Here is a 22,548-nt window from a genome sequence, read left to right on the forward strand (position 1 = left end):
AATCAGATCTTTGACTTAGCATTTCATTTTTAAATGATGGTTTTAGACAATCTTAGTTCATTTGGGCTGTCAATAAATTATTTAAAAGTAAGAATAAAGATGGAGTAGACACTAATATGTCTTAAACATGGGAAGGAAAAAAAGATTTTGTATCACTTCTTTGTAGGTGAAAAGGAAACTGTTGCCTATTTCTGTGCCCATTTCGAAGAACAACTGAACATTTACAAAAAACAGGTGGGCTTTGATTTACAGTAGTAAAATGTTCCTTCATCTTTAGAAATAACTTTTTCTTTAAGTTTCATAAAAATAACATTGTACTATTCAAAATTAAAGCATTTGTCATGAAGTTTAACACATTTAAGCTAAGAGTTTTCTTAATATTCTTTAAGAATAATCATTGAGTCAGCTACTTTTTTTTTTTTTTTTTTTTTTTTTAAAGAGACACTGTCTTGCTATATTGCCCAGGCTGGACTCAAACTGCTGGGCTCAAGCAATCTTCTCTCCTCAGCCTCCCGAGTAGCTGGGACTGCAGGCATGTGCCACTGTGCCCGGCAGGGTCAGCTACTTTAGACTGTGTTTGGATAGCGTGAAGAGGTTAGATTGCTATCAATTAATTATAACAATCTAAGAAGCATCTAGACCAAGGAATGAAAGTCATGTCTCAGTACCACCTACAGTTCAACCTCCTGGAGATAACTTGTTATGTATTTTTCAGTATGTTTTTTTCTCTGCTCACCTTCATATTCACTCACATATAAGAATGCAAGTGTATAAACCAAAATCAACTGAAAACTGGTAGGTGAGATACAAGTTCAATGATTTTGATACAAGATGAATATATAATAGTAATTCTGTTATCCATTAGCAGTGACCAGTGTGAATGAGTAATGCCGTGGAATGTGTAATGAATAGGTAAATGCATTTTTTTTTCAGCAACAAAAATGAAGTAGGAAGAAACAGCCTAAAATAACATACAAAAAGATAGCATGTATATGGAGGAAAAAAAAGAAAAAAACTACTGAAGAACACAACAGAAAACCTGACTTAAGTGGAGAGAAAATACCATGTTCCTGGAAGGGAAGTCTCAATATTAAATAGATTTCAGTTCTTCCTAAATTAATATATAAATTTTGGGCAATCACAAAGTCTCAGCAGGGAAATAGCAAACCCTCAAATTGAAAAAAAATATGAGGTTTGATGATAAGAATTAAAAGGGGCGAGTATTTAGGTTTTGAAATAACTCTCACACATTGGTTGAAGGAGCCTAAGTTGGTACAGCCATTTTGAAGGTATTATCAATTAAATTAAACATACTTATACTGCTTAGCCCAGTAATTTTAATTTTTGATATCTATCCTATATACCCTATACAAAAATCAGTTGAGATGGATTATGAACCTAAATGTGAAAGGTTAAGCAATAAAACTTTTAGAAGAAAAAATAGACATCTTTTTGACCTGGTGACTTAAATAGGACTTTAAAAAGCACTAACTATTGTCTTCCCATGTTTTCAATGTATTATTATGTATCACATATTTTATTAGTTGTTTAATGAGAGGTAATGCCCATCTAGGAAATAGTTTTTATTTTTAAAAAACACTCTAATGAAAAAAATGATAAATTAGACTTTAAATTCGTTTTTATTAAAACTTTACTAAATTATAAATATTAAAATACTGTTGTAAATATTATTAAAATTTTATTAAAATTATATAGGACTTTAGAAAACACCATAGTGAAAAAAACTTGATACATTTGGCTTTATTAAAATAAAAAACTTGTATTTGTTAAGACACAAGAGAATGGAAAGGCAGTTCACAAAGTGGTAGAAGATATTTAAGATTTTTCAGTGTATGTATGACAAAGGTCTCATATCTAGAGTATATTTAAAAATGCCTGCTGGGCGTGGTGGCTCACGCCTGTAATCCCAGCACTTTGGGAGGCCAACGTGGGCGGATCACGAGGTCAGGAGTTTGAGACCACCCTGGTCAGCATGGTGAAACCCTGTCTCTACTGAAAAAAAAAAAAAAAAAATTAACCAGGCATGGTGGCTTGTGCCTGTAATCCTAGCTTCTCGGGAGGCTGAGGCAGGAGAATTGCTTGAACCCAGGAGGCAGAGGTTGCAGTAAGCCAAGGTTGCGCCACTGCACTCCTGGACGACAGAGTGAGATTCCATCTCAAAAAAAAAAAACAAAAACCAAAAAAACCTAAAAGTTTATTCAAAAGGATGTACAACCCAAAAGAGAGCTGGACAAAAGAGGATATCCAGAAAGTCAGTAGATGTATGCAAAAGGGCTCCACTTCATTAGCTGTCAGGGAAATGCAAATTAAAGCCGCTACTCAACACACCAGAATGGCTAACATAAAAAAGTTAAGAAGCTTAGGTAACATGGAGAAATCCTTTCTCTACTAAAAATACAAAAATTAGCTGGGCACGGTGGGATGCACCTGTAGTCCCAGCTACTCAGGAGGCTGAAGTGGGAGAATCACTTGAGCCCAGGAAGCGGAGGTTGCAGTGAGCCAAGATCATACCACTGTGCTCCAGCAGGTGACAGAGCAACACTCTGTCTCAAAAAAAAAAAAAAAAAAAAAGTGGAGGGATACCAAGTTTTGACAAGGACATGGAGCAACTAGAACTGTAATAGAAAAAATTTTTAAATCTGTCTGAGAGAAACATATTCAGTCAAGGAGGCATGTACAAGAACACTCATTGCAGCATAGAAACAACCTAATTGTTCATCAGGAGGACAATAGGTGGGAAAATCAGGCATGGCACATCTAAAGTATTGAATATAAATGATGGAAAAGAATGAGGTAGATCCACGTGTACTAATGGGAAGATCTTAAAATCACCTTGTGGGGTAAGAAGAGAAAACTTTTAACAGCGTATGGTATGTTAGCCATTTAAAAAATCCCACAAAACAAAATTAGGTCATTTACATACAGTTGGTTCTCTTCCATTTATTCTATCCACACACATATGACATGCATATTTGTACAGAAATGCATTTATGTGGGCTGAATGGGGATACACCCAACTGATAACAGGAGTTACCTCCAGGGAGGGCCATAGGATTGGGTTGTGGTCAGGAAGGATTTGACCTTATTTTACATTTGAATTTGTTTCAGTGTAAATAAATTCATGTATTAGCAATGTGTGTAATTATAAGTAGATATAAAGAATAGAGCCTGTCTGTACAAAAAAATTTAAAAATTAGCCAGGCCTGGTGGCACATGGCTGTAGTCCCAGCTACACAAAAGGCTGAAGTGGGAGAATCACTTGAGCCCAGCAGGTGAAGGCTGCAGTGAGCCATGATTGTGCCACTGCACTCCAGCCTGGGTGATGGAGTGAGACTCTGTCTCCAAAATAAGTAAATAAATAAAATTAAAAAATAAAAATACAATAATGAATAAACCACATTTTAAGTGTAACGTGCAATTATAAAACAAAACAATACTAAGGTGTGCAAGCAGAGGAAATAACCGCCTCCCACACTCATCCTGCTCCCTGTTGACATTCACATCAATTTTCTAGGTGTGTGTATTGAGCAGATACTTCCTGATTTCGAACAGTACCCCAACAGTGTTCATTTATCCACCTTTTCCTGGGTAATTACTTTCCAGGGCGTTGGGCCCACAGTCGGTCTGACTCAGCCATGGTGGTCCCATTGCTGTCACCAGTGATTGGTTCAGGCACGGACCTGTGTATGTTCATTGGGGATTTAGCCAATGAGATAGGTGATGTGGGGGAAGTCTCCTGGGAGGCTTCTGGGAACAGGTTTTCTGCTCTAATAAGAGATACAGGAACCAATAGTCCCTCTGTGGTTGCTGTTTCTGGGTTTGATGTGGAACTGCTACAGCTCTCTCAAGACTGTGAAGGAACCAGCCTCAGGATCAGCCGATATGCTGGCAGAATAAAAAAGATGGGAAGAATGGCAGAGTAAAGGGATGGAAAGAACCTGTGTCCTTAATGGTATTGGGAATCACTATTAAGCCATGTTGGAACCGTCCTACCTCCAGACTTGTTCTGAGGTATGAGTCAGTTGACTCAAATTTGTCATCCGCAGCAAAAAAAGCCACCTTGACACATGCATATACACAATAAAAAACTCAAGTCAAAACAAAACTATGCCATATATACTATTGTGCAGCTGTTTTCATTTAAGGTCTCATGGCTGCTGTTTAATCATTTCTCTATTGGTGGACCTTTAGGATATACTAGTTATTTTGCTATTATAAAGACTCCAGAAAATATCTTTCTTTTTTAAAAACTCCATGGACTAGGAACAGAACGCATTTTATATATTTTGGGATACTTGTATGTTTTATAGAATAAATTTATGGAAATGAAATTGCTGGATCAGACATTATGTATATTTAAATTTGATACCACTCTGTTGCTTCTGAAAAGATCACACCAGGTTTTTTAAAAAAAATTGTTTTAAAGCAACAGTAGGAGCTAGTGCCCATTTCCTCACATATTGACCAGTGCGGTCTGTGTTTAGTATTCACGTTTGCCTAGGTATAGGTGAAAACTCATTTTCTGTTTTAAATTGCATTTCTTTGAGTATTAAAGTTGTCATCTCTTCATTGAGTATAGGTTCAGAAATTGTAGTCTCATGTTTATTAGCTATTTGTATATTTTTTTCATGTGGATTTTCTCTGTATCCTTTACCATTTTTTTCCGTATTGGATTTAGGACTCTTTATGCATTATTGGTTTTTATGTTGCAGGTATATTCTCCTAGGTAGCACTTTGCTTTCTTACCTTTGCTTATACTGTCATTTGGTACACAGGCTTAAAATTTTTTAAAGTTATGCTTAGAAAGTCATGCTCCAACCTACATTTATAGAAGCATTATTCTGAGTTTTCTTCTAGCTCTATTATCATTAGAAAAACTATTTAGATTCTTAATGCATCTAAAATTTATTTGTGTATAATTAATGAGATGTAGGGAGCTAATGTAAGTTTCTCCTTACCCCACACATAGACATCCCAGTATCATTTATAGACTAGTCCATATTTGCCCCACAGTGGTATCATGAGCATAGCTTAGATTCTTCAGTGTTTACATAGGTCTGCTTCTGGGCCACCATTCCTGTTCTGTTGAGTCACTTAGCTATTTCTACGCTAGTATGACAGTTTTAATTGCTACAGATTTAGAGTATGTTTTGCTTTCCAATGGGACAAGTCCCTTTTTTATTATTAGCTTCCAAATTTTTTCCACATATTTACTCTTCCAGATGAACTTTTGAGTTGTTAAGTTCATTAACAGATCCTGATTGAATTTTGATTGGGATGGTTGAGTGTATAGATTAATTGGGGGAGACTTGAAATCTTTACAATATTGAATCTTGCTGCCTAGTAACATGGTATATGTTTCTGTTAATTCAGGTTTTCTATCATATGCTTTATGTACTTCAGCAGCATTTTATCATGTTCAGTATTTAGGCTTTCTTTATTTCTTTTTAAATCTAGATATCTAAAATATTTGCTGTTACAAAGGACCTTGTTTTCATTATTTCATTCTAATTGGTTATTGCAAATATATAGAAAAGCTATTAATGTCATTGATGTCAATTCTCACAAACTTAAATGTATGTAACAAATGAAAATTTTATAGGAAAAAAATTGATGTTTGAGTGGATTAATTTCTAAGTATGGCTATAAAATATTTCTAACACATAATTCCAAATTATTAAAAACCACACTGTGATTCTAACATCTAATTAAATTTTAAACCACATTGTGATTCTAAAATCTAACTAAATTTTTTCTGTTTCTTTGCTCTTATAGGTTATTATTAACTTGGTAGACCAGGCAGGAAGAGAGAAGATTATTGGCGATGCTTACCTGAAGCAAGTGTTGCTTTTCAACAACTCACACCTCACTTACGTTTCGTTTGACTTCCATGAGCACTGGTAAGATGGCTTTCGGAGAATAGTGTTGATCAATTGCAGTGTTTTTGGTAGATGCTGCCACAGGGACCTTAGTTTCTCTTCTTTGCTGGGAATAAAAATTTCTTCTCATTGTTGGAAAGAAAAAGGGTATCATTCATTTACTTTGTTTTAATTTTCATGTGGGCATTATTTTGGCTAAAATTTAGAGTTGATTCCAAAATATTTACAGTCGTTCTGTTCCAGAAGATCTTGGAGATGTGGAGTTCCCTTTTTGCTTTGATCACACCAGCTAAAGAACTGATGGCATTGCCTTTCTGCTTGGGTCTGAGCCTAGCAGAAGTAATAGAATTTCCTTAAGAGTATCTTGCTGGCTCCTCTTCATGTCTGGTAGTGATACTTCTTTCTCGATGGGTAAACTTCACTAGAGGAAAACAACAACAATCAGGGCATCTTTTTTTTTTTTAAGGACAGGTCTCACTCTGTCGCCCAGGCTGAAGTGGAGTGCGGTGGTGTGATCTGGGCTCACTGCAACCTCCACTTTCTGGCTTCAAGGGATTCTCCTGCCTCAGCCTCCCGAGTAGCTGGGACTACGGCACGCTCCACTATGCCCGGCTAACTTCTGTATTTTTTGATAGAGATGGGGTTTCACCATGTTGGCCAGGCTGGTCTCAAACTCCTGACCTCAAGTCATCCGCCCACCTTGGCCTCCCAAAGTACTGGGATTACAGGCATGAGCCAATGTGCCCGGCCCAGTGAATCATTTTGATGGTGCCTTTAACGTGTGTATTCTGACAGCAAGGTTCTTTTGCCATAATCCTGGTTCTAACTTAGGTTAATTTACCTAAGTATTGAAATTTGGTGGGGAAAGAAGCTTCTGATGTCTGTAGTATGTTTTAATGTGTTTTTAAGTATGCTTTATTTCACAATGCAGATTAGCTATAAACATTTACCTAATTGCCTATATAATATATAGTAGTATTAACCTCATATATGTACAGCAACAATTCTTTTTAATTTTTCGAAGCTACATTAAATAGCATATCTTAAGTTTTAAAAAAATCTATGATTAAATTAAAGATTTTTTCTTTCTTTTGGCATGGATTTTAGCCGAGGAATGAAGTTTGAGAATGTTCAGACACTAACAGATGCCATTTATGACATTATTCTTGATATGAAGTGGTGTTGGTAAGTATTTTACAAGAACTCCTTTTTACAGACTCTGGGATCTGTAAAATAGTACCACTGAGCATTAAACTGATAGCAGCATGCAGAGACAGCATTTTTTTTTGTTCGTTTTGCTTCCCAGTTCCTATTCTTTTCAAGAGAATGTTGCTGACCCTTAGGCAGGTGGTGTTAGCTTTGAACAGGGAGAGGGTGTGAAATGGTCAGGCCAAATGAAGTGAAACGCTCTGACTGTTCTTTAAGGACATGAATTTATTCCTTCTCATGCCCCACGGTCCACATTTTCTCTTTCTCCTCTTTCTCACTGTTCCTAACACAGGAAGGAAGTCTTAGAGGTACTTTGTCTCAGTTTTCAGGCATTTCAAAATTATCAGAGACGGAAAATGATTCTGAGTACAGGAGGTTTAAATTGGCTTAAAGGACAGAAGAGAACATTTGATTAGATGTTAAGACTACACGGGTGGCCAGAGAAATTAGATGAGCAAGCCATGCTGTGTGCCTCCTCACTGGGGGGTAAAATAACTTCGTCTGTTTTGGAGAGTTTAGGTGCATTTCTACTTTAAAGGAACAACGGTGTTTTAAAGTGCCTTCTGTTTTTTTACATGTAGGAAAACATAACTTGGGATGATGTCAGCTCTGCCTAGTAGTTATAGGACTTGGCAAGTCTCTCTGCACCCCAGTTTTTTTTTTTCCTTAAGATGAGGATAATATCTTCCTTGCTATGTTATTGTGTAAATTAACAATGATGTCTATAAATGACTCAATAATGCATAGCATATAAAGATACACCAAGCAAATTACAGCCAGTGCTGCTGTTTTATTGATATACTTTAAAGAATTGTGTCTTTTGAAAACCCTATTATTTTATATTGTAAAATAATTCTGTATTATTTTTAAAAAGGGTTGATGAAGCTGGGGTAATATGTAAGCAGGAAGGGATTTTTCGTGTTAATTGTATGGACTGCCTGGATCGCACCAACGTGGTCCAAGCTGCCATCGCGAGAGTGGTCATGGAACAGCAGGTAATTTGGAGTCTGTTGGATTGCAAATATTCATTTCGAAATGCTTTTTTTTTCCATGAGTAAGCAAATAGCTAAATATTTTTCAAATGTCAAATATTCTTTACAACATTTACAATATACAAACACCCTTGTTGCATTAAAATCTGGAAAGCACAACCTGCACTGAAAATCAGTTAAATAAAGTGAGATTTTCTTAATCACTCATTTCAAAAATGTGACGGCCAACATTTTAAAGTCCATTGGGTGGCATTGTGTGGTCATTTACCTTTTCCCTCTCACCTCCAAGCCCACCCTTCTGTGTTTGGGGCTGGAAGTCTTGATACTGCATTTCTTTTTTTTTTTTTTGAGATGCAGTCTTGCTCTGTTGCCCAGGCTGTTGGGGAGGGAGCTGCTGACGGGAGGAACACAGGTGAAGGAGCCTGTGTCTTTTTCTTCCTCCTGTCTCATGGGCTTCCTTGAGTGCCTCCTATTGGCAGATCCAGCAGGCCAAGCAGAAATGTGGTGTGTAGGCTGGGCGCAGTGGCTCATGCCTATAATCCAAGCACTTTGGGAGGCTGAGGTGGGTGGATCACCTGAGGTCAGGAGTTTGAGACCAGCCTGGCCAAAATGGCGAGACCCCCTGTCTACTAAAATCCCGTCCCTACTAGCTGGGCGTGGTGGCCGTCATCTGTAATCCCCGCTACTCGGGAGGCTAAGGCATGAAAATCACTTGAACCCAGGAGGCGGAGGTTGTAGTGAGCCCAGATCGTGCCACTGCACTCTAGCTTGGGAGATAGAGTAAGACTCTATCTTCAAAATAAAAATAAAAATAAAAAAATAAAATACATAAAATAACCTTGTGACTGTACTTTGAGGACACGAATCTGTTTATCTTATGTACAGTGTTTAAGCAGCCAGGTTTGAGTTTAAGCCCTGGCTCTACCACATACAAGGTTTTGACTCTGTACAAAGAACTTAACCTTTCCAAACCTCAGTCTCATAATTTGTAAAATGTAGGTGATAACAGTATCAATTACATAGTGGTGTTAGGACTAGTGAATGTGAAAAAACTGTGTAAAAAAGCTCTTAGAACCCTAGCCTTGGCACAGAGTTAACATTTACTAGGCACTTAACTATTCTGCCACTATTAGTATTGTTTCTGTGTGCTTTTTTGATATTCAGTTTCACTTCATAGGCAAATTTAAAACAAAGACAAAATATAATAGTATGATCCTGCACATTAAAAATTGTACCAAAACAGTATAAATATTTCATTATATTTATTCAACTTGTAGCAATTTATAAAGCCATCTTTCAAGCACTACTTTATTAAAAATGAGTCTGAAAAGACCATTTCTCTTATTTAAGGGTCCTAAATTGTATATGAATATGTTTCCTTTTTCTGCAGTACACATTTTTTGCTATGGTTTCCTGGCCCATATACAGTTAATCCACCAATGTGTTCATTTTAGCTGAAAAAATTAGGTGTGATGCCCCCGGAACAGCCATTACCTGTGAAATGTAATCGCATCTACCAGATAATGTGGGCCAATAATGGTGACTCCATTAGCAGACAGTATGCTGGGACAGCTGCTCTGAAGGTAAATACTTGCAGGAAGCATCTGTGGGTCATTATGTAGGACACAGCTTAGACTATGGTTTAAAACCACAGAAATGTGTGTGGGTTCCAGATTGCAGATGTGTGTAGTTGACTCTTTTCTGAAATGGTTGGCTAAGGCAGGGCCAGGTAATGTGACTCAAGCAGGCCACACATTACATCAGAGGGAGAGGGGGCTGTGTGGGCCTGAGGAGGAGTGTGTGCTCTCTCTGGAGGGGCCTATGTTGCCAGACCCTCCAGTTTTTCAAGGGATTCTGGAAATCCAGAATTTTATATGAAATGGTTGGTTTTCAAAACTGACAAAACAGAGCATGTCTGCTGGCAGGTTTTGGCCACCAGTGTCATACTTCATCTTTGAGTTTGAATCCCAACCCTGCTTCTTAACTAGCTGTGACCTTGGGCAAGTCACTTAACCACTCTCATTTGTCACACAGGAATTATACTAGACCTATTTCAAAAGACTGTTATGGGATCATATGAGTCAATGCATGTAAGGGCTTAGAATATTCTCTGACACACGTAAATGCGGAAGAAATGTTTTAGTTACTGTTAAAAGTAAAGTCCTTTGAAGATCCTATAGAGCTAGTCCTCATAGAATATTAAGTTAAATATAAAATATATTCTCTAGTAAATAAATTACTCAGTCTGAGGGCGTTGTCCTCTGTGGCAGTAGGAAGTGTTAGAATTTGTTTAAATTAGGTTTATGTTAATCATTCTTCAAGGTTCTAGTTCATCTCAAGGTACTTCTTACACAGATTGTACCATCAAGGACTTAACAAGCATCAGTCCTTCTTTTGCATTGAGTGATAAATATCAAAAGCTTTTTATTAATTACAGAAAGTAAACTTTGGAAGTCCTGGTAAAGACCAGGTACAGTGGCTCAACCCTGTAATCCCAGCACTTTAGGAGGCTGAGGCGGGTGGATCACCTGAGGTCAGGCATTCAAGACCAGCCTGGCCAACAAGGTGAAACCCTGTCTCTACAAAAATATAAAAATTAGCTGGGCATGGTGGCGTGCGCCTGTAATCCCAGCTACTCACTCAGATGGCTGAGGTGTGAGAATCACTTGAACCCGGGAGGCAGAGGTTGCAGTAAGCCGAGATTGTGCCATTGCACTCCAGCCTGGGCGACAGAGCGAGACTCTGTCTCAAAAAAAAAAAAAAAAAAAAAGCCTGGTTCAAGTTAGTGATTAAAGAGAAATACTTCTCTTTTTTGCCCCTTGATTTTAAACTTCTTCGGGATGAGTATTATACCTTTTTTCTGTAATAGAGACTTGTTGCTCTACTAATATTCCCTGAGACTGACCTAATTGGCAGCATGTTCTTCCTAAATTGTCGGTTTTTGGACTGAGATTTCTGAGATTGCCTTGGAGAGAAATAGAGGGGTTGGGATGGGGAAAAAGAGACTACACCTTCCTTGCCTTAAGTTTAAGTCACCACTTCTCTAGGGACTTGCTCTGACATCTTTGTTGTGAAAAGCGCAAGGGAAACAAAACAGTTTAAGTTGTCACTGGGTTGTTCTACAGGTGCTGGTGATGTGCAGCAAGGTAAGGAAACTCCTGCTTTTCCTCCCTGTGTAGAGCTGCTCATCTGCACACCCAGGCTAAAAGCCCATTGTGATCAACTCTAGGGAACTAGCCACATTTTCCCATGTCAGAAACATCGGTTTTTGAATATTACACCAGTTTGAGATGTAAATAATTTTTATTGTTTTGGTGTTTGTCATATAATTTGTTTTGACCTGTAAATTCTAGAAATTCTACAAATTGCCAAGAATGGCTTTACCCTAAAGCACCATCTAACTGTGAAGACTTGATGCCACAAATAGCATTTGACAAGCTTAGATCAGGGTAGAATACTAGTAGATATTTTAATTTAACTATACTATTTGAAAATTATAGAAGTCAGACCTTGGAAATTATAAAAGCCTGTAGAATTCTAGACTTGAACTGAAAGCCCACAATTTATTTTGGGGGCATTCTTGTGTTTAAATAAGATGTCAAAATCAGTTTTTGTTTGACAGGGTGACTTTACAAGGACAGGAGAAAGGAAGTTAGCAGGAGTTATGAAAGATGGAGTGAACTCAGCAAACAGATATTACCTCAACCGATTTAAGGATGCTTATAGGCAAGCTGTTATAGGTAAGAAGCAGAAAAGCTTTTCTTTCCTCAAAATTTATGTCTTCTGTGACTAATATTTTACAGAAACCAGCTTCATTAACATAATTCATATTTTGTAATATACTTGTGTTTCTGTATTGAGCATCTTACCCAATATATCAAATTCAAATTTTTACAAGATTAGAATTTGACAAATATTTTTGGCTGGAGCAACAAAAGAAACCATCTATTTTCCATGCATATTTGTCAGTTTATTACTCAGGTAATAGAAAGCAGGGTTTGAAGCTCCTGGAGTGTGGAATAAGGTGCCCTAAAACCTCAACAATTAAAAACTTCATATTCCGTTTGTTTTCTCATTACTCAAGGCTGAGCAATGTAACCAGATTATTTTTCCTGTATATTATTTGTTCTGTGTTCTTGCTGTGGACAAATATACCAGCCTTTTCCATAAGCATGGTTTATCAGAATATTAGGGTACCAGATTTAGAGATTACCCTAACCAACTCATCATTTTTTTGGAAGAGGAAATGGAAGGATAGATTGCCCAGTAGAATGTATGCATTGACATTTTAAAAATTTAATACTCATGAAGATGTTACTGTATAGGATTAAAGTAAATGCAGAGTGTTCTGGATTAGAACCAAATGTAACATAGCTGACCTGTGGTCCCTGAGGGTCTTTTTGAAATCTTATTTCTTCACCTGATGATTTAGTGCACACATCAGACTAGTAGGGCCTAGACACAGGCCACTTAGGAATTTGAGAAGTCTGATGTGAAGATGTTTGACTTATTTGCCAGACATGGAGGGTGCATGCTGTGACTACAGAATTGGATTTTAGCAGTTGATATTCAAGGAAAAAAGAAGATATCTTACTTCCATTCGTTGACCTAGCTACTCAGTTATATCACTGAGGACCTCAGTTCTGTCCTCTCAGTTCAGCCATCCACAGCATCAGCTGCATCCAGATCCTGAAGCTGGCTGAGAGATCTTCAAGGTTGAGAGATAGAAGCCAGTAGCAATCTGTGCTTGTCTCTTTCCTGTGTAGGGCCAGTGGTTGGCAGGTCTTCTTTCGCTGAAGCCTCCTCGAGTGTCATTGTCCCATGAGACAATGAGATAGGGAGGAATAACTCCATAGGGAATGGGATTATAATGATTTATTAAGGCTGCGCCGCATGCCCCACCAAGAGGAAGTTAGCTTGTCTGTTCAGATCTTTGCTCATTTTACAATTGCCTTATCTTTTTATTATTGATTTATACCAGATAGATGAATTGTAAATATTTTCTCCTGTTCTAGGGGTTATCTTTTCACTTTTGTGATGGTGCCCTTTGAAACACAGTTTTTAATTTTTATGATGTCCAGTTTGTCTGTTTTTTCTTCTTTTATTGCTTATGATTTTAGTGTCATATCTTAAAAATCATGCCTAATCCAAGGTTACAAAGATTTATGCTTGTGTTTTCTTCCAAGAGCTTTACAGTTTTAGGTCTTACATTCTCTTTTGTTTTTTAAAAATATATTAGTAAACTAAAATGATGATAGATATTAACAATTCCACCCTAGATTTGATGCAAGGCATTCCAGTGACAGAAGATCTTTATTCCATATTTACCAAGGAGAAAGAACATGAAGCTTTGCATAAGGAAAATCAGAGAAGCCACCAGGAACTAATTAGCCAGCTCTTACAAAGTTACATGAAGTTACTACTGCCTGATGATGAGAAGTTCCATGGGGGCTGGGCCCTCATTGACTGTGACCCTAGGTGAGTTGGAGTGGTGTCCAGGTGACCAGCTTGCTTAACTGATGTTGGGAAGTTGTCATGATTAACACTGGCAGTTGTCCCTAAAGCTGTGGGCATGGATGCATGGCGCGTGACTATTTCCTCTATGAGCTGGTAGTGAGGCAAGCTGACTGAGGCACTTGCCTTGGATGCAAAATTAAGGGGGTTCTAAAAACTTGGTAATGAAGAAAAATATTTTAGTGCAGTATTTGATTAAACAAAATTCAAATTGCCAAACTACAGCCTGCAGCTGGCTGTGGGTTCCCCACTCCCTGCCCTAGAATCTAGGTTTATTGTATTAATGCACATAAGTGAGTGCAACAAGAGGTGTAGTGAGGCTGGGTATTTTTATTGGTTATAAAGTGGTCCTGGCCTTTTATAAAATAAATAGGTCAACTAATATTCTTTTTTTTTTTTTTTAACAAAAACCGGTTTCAAGTGGTTCTTCAAAATATCAATGAATAGTGGGATCTAAATTTATCCACTAGATTGAATGCTTGCCTTTAGGCTGAAATCTAAAATCATAATCTTTAATATTATAAATCAGAGACATTTTGGGAAATTGTAGCCCAAGCTTTAAGAATAAAGCACTCTAGTTCTATTTTATCTCATACGTTTTGTGTGTTTTTAGTAAGAGGGGCATAAAATGTGCTTGAAAGTACAATTAAAGATAGTATTTATGTATTAAAAGGAATAAAAAACGTTGACTGTGGATTCATAGGGAAACATCCCATGATATTAATCTCATGGATTTTTTTCACTTTGATAGTAAATACTGTTATGTATGGATATAATATGTGGACTTTAAAAATAAGAGATGAATTTTCCTCACACACAACCTAGCAGAAGGTTTTTGTGTTTGTTTAAGCCATTTGGTAAAGCTATTTTGATTCATGTCCTTCACTTGTATTTTTAGTGGCAGCAATCCAACTTAATATAGCACCAAAAAAAAAAAAAAGAGTACTTTTACTTCCCATTCAGAAATAACTGCTGGCAGCACACCTGCATTTTCCTTGAGTTTTAACTGCACTTAGATTTTTAAGAGGGTATCAATATCATGATTGTCAATATCATCTTTCTTCAGTCAAGTGTTTTTGTGTCTACTTTGGGATAATCAAAATTGGGAAAAACCAAAAGGTTTATTTCTAGTGTTGGCTACGATTTTGTAGGGTCACATTACACTTGATGATTTGATTTCCAATTCTGTAATTTTTATGGAAAATTGGTACCCTGGGGTGAAGAGTATTAGAAAATGTAAAGTGTATATAGCTTTGCTATTTAAAGTTTGCAACAAAGTCTGGGTAAGGATGCTTTAAGAGTCATTAGAAGCCTCTTGCAAAGATTCATAAAAACATACTTATTTCTGGCAATTATATTAATAAAAATAATGAATAATGGTGTGGTGGCTTGCACCTATAACCCCAGCACTTTGGGAGGCCAAGGCAAGAGGATCATTTGAGTCCAGGAGTTTGAGACCTCATCTCTACAAAAAAATTTTAAAATTAGCCTGGTATTGTGGTGCACAGCTATGATCCCAGCTACTCGGGAGGCTGAGGTGAGAGGAACTCAAGAGCCCAGGCATTTGAGGCTGCAGTGAGCCATGACTGCAGCACTGAACACCAGCCTGGGTGACAGAGTGAGACCCTGTCTCAAAAAAAACAAAACAAAACAAACAAAAAAACTCAAAAAAACACTATGGTGAAACAAGAATAGTCTTCTAGGATTAGGTCTTTAAATCACTGGCTGGGCACAGTAGCTCACACCTGTAATCCCAGTGCTTGGGGACGCTGAGTTTGGAGGGTCACTTGAGGCCAGCAGTTCAAGACCAGCCTGGGCAATGTAGTGAGACACTGTCTCTTAAAAAAAGTCACCATTGGGTGATTAGAGTCTCAAATCTTTTAAGTCCTCAGCTACCAAATATCTGCCTCAGAAATGACATTGTGCTTCAGTTTTCTTTTCTTCATTAACATGATGAAATGCTTCTCTTTTTTTTTCCTGATTTTTGACTCCCACCTCTGTCCAGTGCCCAGTAAATGCATCCTATTTTTCTTTAATCCAGCACTATAGAATTTGACTTCCCGATAACAGGGAGCCAGTGAGTATCTTCTGTTCATCTTCTTTAATTAAAGTTCCTAGGGCCGGGCACGGTGGCTCACGCCTGTAATCCCAGCACTTTGGAAGGCTGAGGCGGGCAGATCACAAGGTCAGGAGTTCGAGACCAGCCTGACCAACATGGAGAAACCTCGTCTCTACTAAAAATAAAATTAGCTGGGCATGGTGGTGCGTGCCTGTAGTCTCAGCTACTTGGGAGGCCTAGGCAGGTGAATTGCTTGAACCCGGCAGGCGGAGGTTGCAGTGAGCCGAGATCACACCATTGCACCCCAACCTAGGTGACAGAGTGAGGCTCCATCTCAAAATAAATAAATAAATAAATAAATAAATAATAAAAGTTCCCAATGAAGAATAACTTACCATGAGTCACACGTAACTTATCATCAGTCACACGTAACTTACCATCAGTGACACGTGTTAGACAGCAAGGGCCAGTGCATCCTTCCTGTTTCTCATTGCTGCCTTTGGGCTGTACAGCTGAGGAGTTCTTCCCCAAAAAGCAGCTGCCCACTCTCCTTCATGACAAGTGAAGCTGAAACACACGCATTCAGTGCGTTATCAGGTTTTCAGCACATGGGGCTACCCCTAAAGATGACCCAGATAGTCTCACATGGCATGATGGACAATGAAACCTTTAAGTTCATTTTGTTTAATCCTTATTGCTGCTTTGCCTTTAGATGCTAACCTGGTCCAGGGCTTGCAGCTGCCCCACTGTGGGTCTCAGGCTGAGCTTTCTGCTGAGTTTGCCTTTTAGTTGTATGTTTGTTTCTTGTTTCTTCTACTTTTTTTGTTTTTTTTTGGACAGCGTCTCGCTCTGTCGCCCAGGCTGGAGTGCAGTGGCGCGATCTCGGCTCACTGCAAGTTCCGCCTCCTGGGTTCACGCCATTCTTCTGCCTCAGCCTCCTGAGTAGCTGGGACTATAGGCACCTGACACCACGCCCGGCTAATTTTTTGTATTTTTAATAGAGATGGCGTTTCACCCTGTTAGCCAGGATGGTCTCGATCTCCTGACCTCGTGATCCACCCGCTTCGGCCTCCCAAAGTGCTGGGATTACAGGTGTGAACCACTGTGCCCAGCCCTCTACTTCTTTATTGTTTTGGGATAGCTTCCACTGGGGGCCTCTAAGTCTCCCAATTACTTTCCAATTTGTTGTCGGATTCCCTGACTCTCTTGCTCAGATGTTGCTAAACAGTGTTTTTTCCTCTGATTCTTTCTTAGATGGTCAGTTGCCAAGAGTGATTGTGAGAGTATTCTTTACCTGTGTTACGTGCCAGAGCCTCCACTGCCATCCTTATCTTCTTCCTTGTGGTCATTGGTATCCAAAATAGACCCGTCAGAGTCACTGGCTCAGTGATTCCCTTTGATCTTCATCCTTTGGGACACTGAAAGATTCTGAAGATCTTCCCATCAATGTAGGAATCATTAGCTGAGGTGCTGTCTTTCCTGATGTATTGTTGGTTGTGAAAATGTTGTCTTCTCTGATGTGTAAACCAGTGTCTGATGCAGAGTGGTTCTGTCTGTTGGCTCTTCAGTCCAGAGAAGCTGACTTGGGTCTAAGGCAGAGATGGGCAGGGGAGCTCCATCACTAACCAGGACAGCAGGAGTGTCTGAGGGAATGACGTGTTAATTGTCAAGAGGAGGAGGTAGAACACAGGACACAAGGGTCACTGACTTGTGGAATTTGTGTGTGGTCTGCTCTTTGGAGACAGGCATGGCTGCTAAATTTTGAGACTCTCCACTCTGTTCCGGAAAGATCTCCTCTAAAGCTCACCACGCCAGACTGATTGCATCTCACAATGGTTGAGGTGTTGGCCGCTTGCTAGATTTTCCTTGCTGTTGGTGGTCCCCGTGGTTAACGTTTTGCTAGAAACTTGTTCCTTTGAAGGTTGGGGACAGGATGAGGTGGATGTAGGAGCTAGTGAAGCCAATACTTTGGAGCCAACAGCTTCTCAGGTCATGTTTTCCTTGTTGGCTTGCGTAGCAGGATGAGGCCTGCCTACCAGGAGTCTTGGTATTTTTCTAATGGAAGGCACTTAATGTCCCTGTGGCTGGCTCCACTGTGAGCCCCTTTTGGAGAGCCAGGTGGTTTAGGGGTTTAGGCTGGGGCACAGGAGGAGCTAGCTGGAGGAGGTGGAGCAGGGGCTGGCTCTCAGAATGGTTTTCAAGTGTTTTCTTTTCTTCTAGAGGTGATGCTTTTTCAAATAGAGAACTGTTACCTTCTTCCTACATTTTCCTCTTCCGTGGATTATGGATTACTCTTGGTGGACAGCGGATGTCATGTGCTGTTTGAGTTTTCAAAGTAACTATTGCGTTTCCATCTAGATTACAGAATTCTTTATTAACTCCTCTTTGTACAGGCATGTCTTTGTCTTGTGGGTGTGATTCTTGCTAATAATACTGCTGAGATTTCTTTGAATTTGCCACCGATATTTTTCTTCCACTTACTGCAAGGCTTAAAGATTTTCCTAGTGGTGCTCTGTTCCCCTTTCTCTTGATGAGAGATTTGGAAACCTGCTCTTGGGCCGAGTTTGCTATAGAACCTCTGTACAGTCCATCAGCTCAGCTGGAGATGTTGACCCAGAACAGAGGCTCCTGGTGGAGGACAAGAGGTGGCCCTGGAAGTGGAAGTGGGGTTGCGGGTCTCTGGAGAGCCAGGCAGCGGAAGGCTCAGCTCCCAGACTTGGGGACTTGCTCTCACTGCCTGCCTGAACCATCCACTCCTGGAATATGTGTGTGTGTTTAAACAGTTTTATTGAGACATATAATTCATATACCATATAATTCACCTATTTAAAATATATAATTCAGTGGTTTGTAGTATATTCAGAGTTGTGCAGCCATCACCATGGTCAATTTTAGGACATTTTCATCACCACAAAGAGAAGCCCCGTACTTTTTAGCTGTCACTTCCTTACCCTCCACACTACCATCCCTAAGCAACCACTAATCTACTTCGTCTCTGCATTTGCGTATTCTAGACATTTCATTCAAGTGGAATAATATAATACGTGGCCTTTTGTGACTGGCTGCTTTCAGTTAGCATAATGTTTTCCAGGTTAATCCATGTTGTGGCATGTGTCAGAACTTCATTCCTTTTTGTAGCTGAATAGTATTTCATTATAGACCACATTTTGTTCATTCTTCTCTTGATGGGCATTTGGGTTATTTCCACATTTTAACCATTGTAAGTAGTGCTGCTATGAACATTTGTGTACAGGTTTTCATTTGAACACCTGTCTCTATTAAATAGTTCTTTTGGGTGGAAATGGCCAGATTATCTGATAATCCTGTTTAACTTTTGAGAAACTGCCAAACTATTTTCTACAGTGGCCACGCCGTTTTACGTTTCCACCAGCAATGTATTTCAGTACATTCCAGTTTGGAGGGTTCCAATATCTCCAATCTTTGCCAACACTTATTTTCCTTTTTTTCTAAATGCAGTCATCCTACTTAGTGTGAAGTGGTATCTCATTGTGGTTTTGATTTGCATTTCCCTGATGACAAACGATGTTAAGGATTTTTTTTTTGTACTTGTTGGCTATTTCTGTGTCTTAGTTGGAAAAACATGTATTCAAACGCTTTGCCAAGTTTTTAATTGGGTTGTTGATTTGTAAATAAAGTTTTGTTGGGAACAGGGTTGGGATTAGGGTCAAGTGAGTGAGGTACGATTATGCAACTACAGGGATGTATTCTATCTTAAATGTTTGATGCTTTGTCCATCATATTTATCATATTTTTGCATTAATTTTGATTTTAAAAAATATTGCACCAATTGTCTTGTTGACAAAATTAATGACACCCTTTAAAATCTGTACCAGAGACCAGTACCTCACTCACCTCACTGCAGTCCCAGCTGCGTTTAAATATCTGGTGGAAAAACAGGCAAGCATTCTGGAAATGCGCAGTCCCAGCAGGGAAGTAGGCCTGGCTGCGGGGTCGCGGCCTAGGGCATTGGTCGCCGGATACAGAGAACTAGAAACCGGGAACTGTCCAGCACGCCCGTGCCTGTCCTGGCCCTTCTCCCATGCAAGGCTGAGCGCAGCTCTGTCCGGGCTACCTTAGACAGACTCCATCGTGGCCAGGGCCGACCTCTCTGCCTTTCTTGTCCTTTCCCGCCCGTTATCGCAGGAAACCCCCGACTCTATCGACAGCGGGAAAGAGGCTCTGAGACTGGAGAGGAAACCACGGACCTGCAGGGCCCGCCTCGCCTCTCCGCTAAGCCAAGTGGTGTTCCCAACTTGCTTCGACTTGCTTCCGTGCGCTCAGGTCGCCTGCCCGGTCCAGCAGTGGTAATGGAGTGGCCAGGCACGCGGCAGCCACTGTCTCTTAGGCATGCGATGGCCTAGGGGCCAGACGCTCGGTGCAGTACCCTCGCCCGGCCCGCCAGCGCCCCCCTCCAGCCGCAGGCACTGTCCCTGACGAAGGCGAAGGCGCCAGCGAACTCTCGCGGGAGTGGCCACCCTGGCGCCCCTCCCCCGCCGGGCCGGGGTCTGTGCCCTCGTTGGTAGGCGTAGGATGCGCAGGATGGAGCGCGCATGCGCACTGGCCGCCAGCCGAGGACGGAAGTGGGCGTCCGGAAGCTAGACGTGTCCCCTGGGCGTGACTTGGCACTGCCGCGTCGCAGTTGCCGCATTCGCCGCATTCGCTGCAGGCGCGAGGTTGGGTGCAGGCAGCTGTTTGAGCCTCGAGGCATCGACGGACGGACAGACGGACGGACTGACTGACGATGCCGCGCTCTCACAGGCCTCCGCCTACCGCGCAGCGGGCTGCCACTGCCGCAGCAGCCGAGCCCAAGTCTGAGGGCGTTGTGGCTATGACTTTCAAGATTTTTCTCCTTTTTGCAGGGCTTATGGTTAAAGTTCCTGTGGGGTTATATTTTTCCTGCAAATTACTTCTTTTCCAAAGTCTGATGTTGATGTCCCCTGAAGACAGCGGCTTTTATGCGACCATTGTTGCAGTGGTCGGGCTTCATGTGGTGCTGGCAATTTTCGTCTTCATAGTGTGGAAGGAGGGCTTGCCCCAGTGGCGGGAAAACAAAAACGAATAGAGCAGCTTCTTCAGAGCTGCAGACGTGGGGGGTGGGGAAATACCTAAAGGGTTTTTGTCTTGTTTCTTGTTCGTATTGAACGTGCTTTTTTTTTTTTTTTTTTTTTTTTTAAAGGGGAAGGGTGGGTGGGGAGGGAATTAAATATTTACTGCAGCTAAGACTTCAGTAAAATTGGGGGTGGGGGGAGGGTTGACATTTTCCGACTGCCTGTTACGTGCCAAGTGCTTTTTGTTAAGGACATAATGTTTTTGACTGGGGATCATGTTTGGCTGATGTAAATATTAATGCCAAAATAGGAGCTAGGATGAAAGTAACACTGTAATTAGTAGTAGAATTTATTTCATATTAAAATGTGTCATGACGTAATTTTTATGGCTTGGCTCAAGCAACAATTTTCAGAGTGCACGTAAGTATCAACGCGTAAAACTTAACATTTTACAGTGTTATTTGGTATTATTCTCTATGAAGCTGTCTGGATCGGTCTCCTTTTCCCATTGGTTAATTGGTTAATGCTCAGATTTTGGCTCCTAGAATCGATCTGTGTGTTCCCGGTCTTGGCATCTCATTATGTCATTTGCTGTATTTTTTGATATATTATTGTACGTGCAAATTGAGGTGAATTTGTTGTTTTAGATTAAGACTGTTGGACTCAAGCTACAACGAGGTGTCTCTGATGTAAAAAACTGCAGTTTAAGATTATGGTAAATCCTTCCCTGCAGTACCTGTTAAACAATGACCTCATTCTTACGCAGATTTAATAAATTTTTTTTCCACTATTATTTTCTGCTTGTTATTAGTAGCATTTTGATAAGGTCTAGGGAATAGGTATGAAATCCCAAGGGAGAAATGTCGGCTTTCTTACAGTGGAATTTGGAGACCAGCATAAGAATGCAGAAACATCTCTCTTTTGCTGGAAAGGCTATTATTGTTAGATTAATATTAGACTAAAAGTTTCACCTTAATTCAGATTCTGCCTGTGTTGTTAATTATTTGTAGATTTTATACTTTAAGAATTTTCTTATTGGTAATTTTACAAGGATGTACATTTTACTGTAGTTTTGGTTTCATGGTTCATGAACACTACCTGGATTCTAATTCTTGTTTTCATCATTGATTTTAGAATGGGTATAAATATGGCAAAATGGAATAAGGAAGTGTTTGTTTATTGAAAGCCAAATAATCTATAATGACAAAAATGCAAAAGTAGCTTGGACTTGTTCCATTTTTGCACATAAATACTGTATTAATGTAAAAGTCTTTCAAAAGATGCCTTCCACATGAATGTAAAGATATCCTGAATGTATAGTGTGTTATTTTGAAGATTAGATAATGTGAGATAGTTTAGATGATTTCTCCCTTCTCACTCTCACGTATTTCTTTCTTCTTCCCTTAACTGCTTCTCTATCATCCTCCAATACCACCAGTCCCCCACCTCAAATTATCCCATTTCCTGAGGGACTCCTTCCTCCTTTGGCTGCCTTTCTCTACGCTCCATCCCTCACTTCCCACATCTGCTTTTCCTTGTTTTTTAAAGACTGTCCAAATGGATAGATTGTATTACATCTAACTGCAGTAGAACTCATTGATTACCTTCTTCTTTTCCCTCCCCCTGGCCAATTTTTTGTCCTAAGTAGCTCTGCTGTAGAAATATGCTTGGCAAAAAATGCAGATGGAAATGAAAATACTTAATCTCCTGTGTCATATTTGTTTAGCCTCATTGATGCTACTCACAGAGACGTGGATGTGCTGTTACTGCTTTCTAACTCTGCCTACTACGTGGCCTAGTAAGTT

At 39.8% G+C, this 22,548-nt stretch overlaps 1 protein-coding gene, 1 long non-coding RNA gene and 1 pseudogene across 30 annotated transcripts in view, besides 5 other annotated features; 1 reads left to right on the forward strand and 2 right to left on the reverse strand.

Annotated features, from left to right (window-relative positions):
• Positions 1-22,548, forward strand: part of INPP5F (inositol polyphosphate-5-phosphatase F) — a 103,098-nt gene that overhangs the window by 72,327 nt on the left and 8,223 nt on the right. For 21 of the 29 annotated variants that reach the window (NM_001441001.1, NM_001441011.1, NM_001441009.1 and 18 more), the window contains 8 exons: positions 167-234; positions 5,797-5,921; positions 7,008-7,085; positions 7,984-8,104; positions 9,556-9,684; positions 11,724-11,841; positions 13,381-13,579; positions 22,470-22,541. In NM_001441001.1, coding sequence (NP_001427930.1) covers positions 167-234; positions 5,797-5,921; positions 7,008-7,085; positions 7,984-8,104; positions 9,556-9,684; positions 11,724-11,841; positions 13,381-13,579; positions 22,470-22,541 — 910 coding nt within the window. Of the gene's footprint in view, positions 1-166; positions 235-5,796; positions 5,922-7,007; positions 7,086-7,983; positions 8,105-9,491; positions 9,685-11,723; positions 11,842-13,359; positions 13,580-19,838; positions 21,164-22,469; positions 22,542-22,548 lie in introns of those variants that run through there. The other 8 variants (NM_001441022.1, NM_001441000.1, NM_001441023.1 and 5 more) reach the window with 8 other exon arrangements.
• LOC105378513 (uncharacterized) lies at positions 5,915-19,881 on the reverse strand. Its single transcript, XR_946359.3, has 3 exons — positions 19,548-19,881; positions 16,112-16,241; positions 5,915-6,321 (listed from the first exon to the last, which is right to left on the reverse strand). It is a non-coding gene; the product is annotated as an uncharacterized LOC105378513 (long non-coding RNA).
• Positions 9,720-9,769: a silencer, noted in NCBI's record as "silent region_2882". NCBI's record gives its function as "represses an Ori minimal core promoter by ATAC-STARR-seq in GM12878 lymphoblastoid cells {active_cell/tissue: GM12878}" and the evidence as "EXISTENCE:reporter gene assay evidence [ECO:0000049][PMID:35858748]".
• Positions 9,790-9,849: a silencer, noted in NCBI's record as "silent region_2883". NCBI's record gives its function as "represses an Ori minimal core promoter by ATAC-STARR-seq in GM12878 lymphoblastoid cells {active_cell/tissue: GM12878}" and the evidence as "EXISTENCE:reporter gene assay evidence [ECO:0000049][PMID:35858748]".
• Positions 12,822-12,991: an enhancer, noted in NCBI's record as "experimental_10180 CRE fragment used in MPRA reporter constructs". NCBI's record gives its function as "activates a minimal promoter by MPRAs in K562 erythroleukemia cells, with activity observed for both the introgressed and non-introgressed 10:121570795 variant alleles {active_cell/tissue: K562}" and the evidence as "EXISTENCE:reporter gene assay evidence [ECO:0000049][PMID:34662402]".
• Positions 15,641-15,810: an enhancer, noted in NCBI's record as "experimental_10184 CRE fragment used in MPRA reporter constructs". NCBI's record gives its function as "activates a minimal promoter by MPRAs in K562 erythroleukemia cells, with activity observed for both the introgressed and non-introgressed 10:121573614 variant alleles {active_cell/tissue: K562}" and the evidence as "EXISTENCE:reporter gene assay evidence [ECO:0000049][PMID:34662402]".
• PHACTR2P1 (phosphatase and actin regulator 2 pseudogene 1) lies at positions 16,842-18,272 on the reverse strand (annotated as a pseudogene).
• Positions 17,221-17,383: a silencer, noted in NCBI's record as "fragment chr10:121575109-121575271 (GRCh37/hg19 assembly coordinates)". NCBI's record gives its function as "represses an EF-1alpha promoter that drives an FKBP-Casp9 reporter gene in an ReSE screen in K562 erythroleukemia cells {active_cell/tissue: K562}" and the evidence as "EXISTENCE:reporter gene assay evidence [ECO:0000049][PMID:32094911]".

This window comes from Homo sapiens, chromosome 10 (assembly GCF_000001405.40).
Source record: "Homo sapiens chromosome 10, GRCh38.p14 Primary Assembly".
Lineage (NCBI taxonomy): Eukaryota > Metazoa > Chordata > Mammalia > Primates > Hominidae > Homo > Homo sapiens.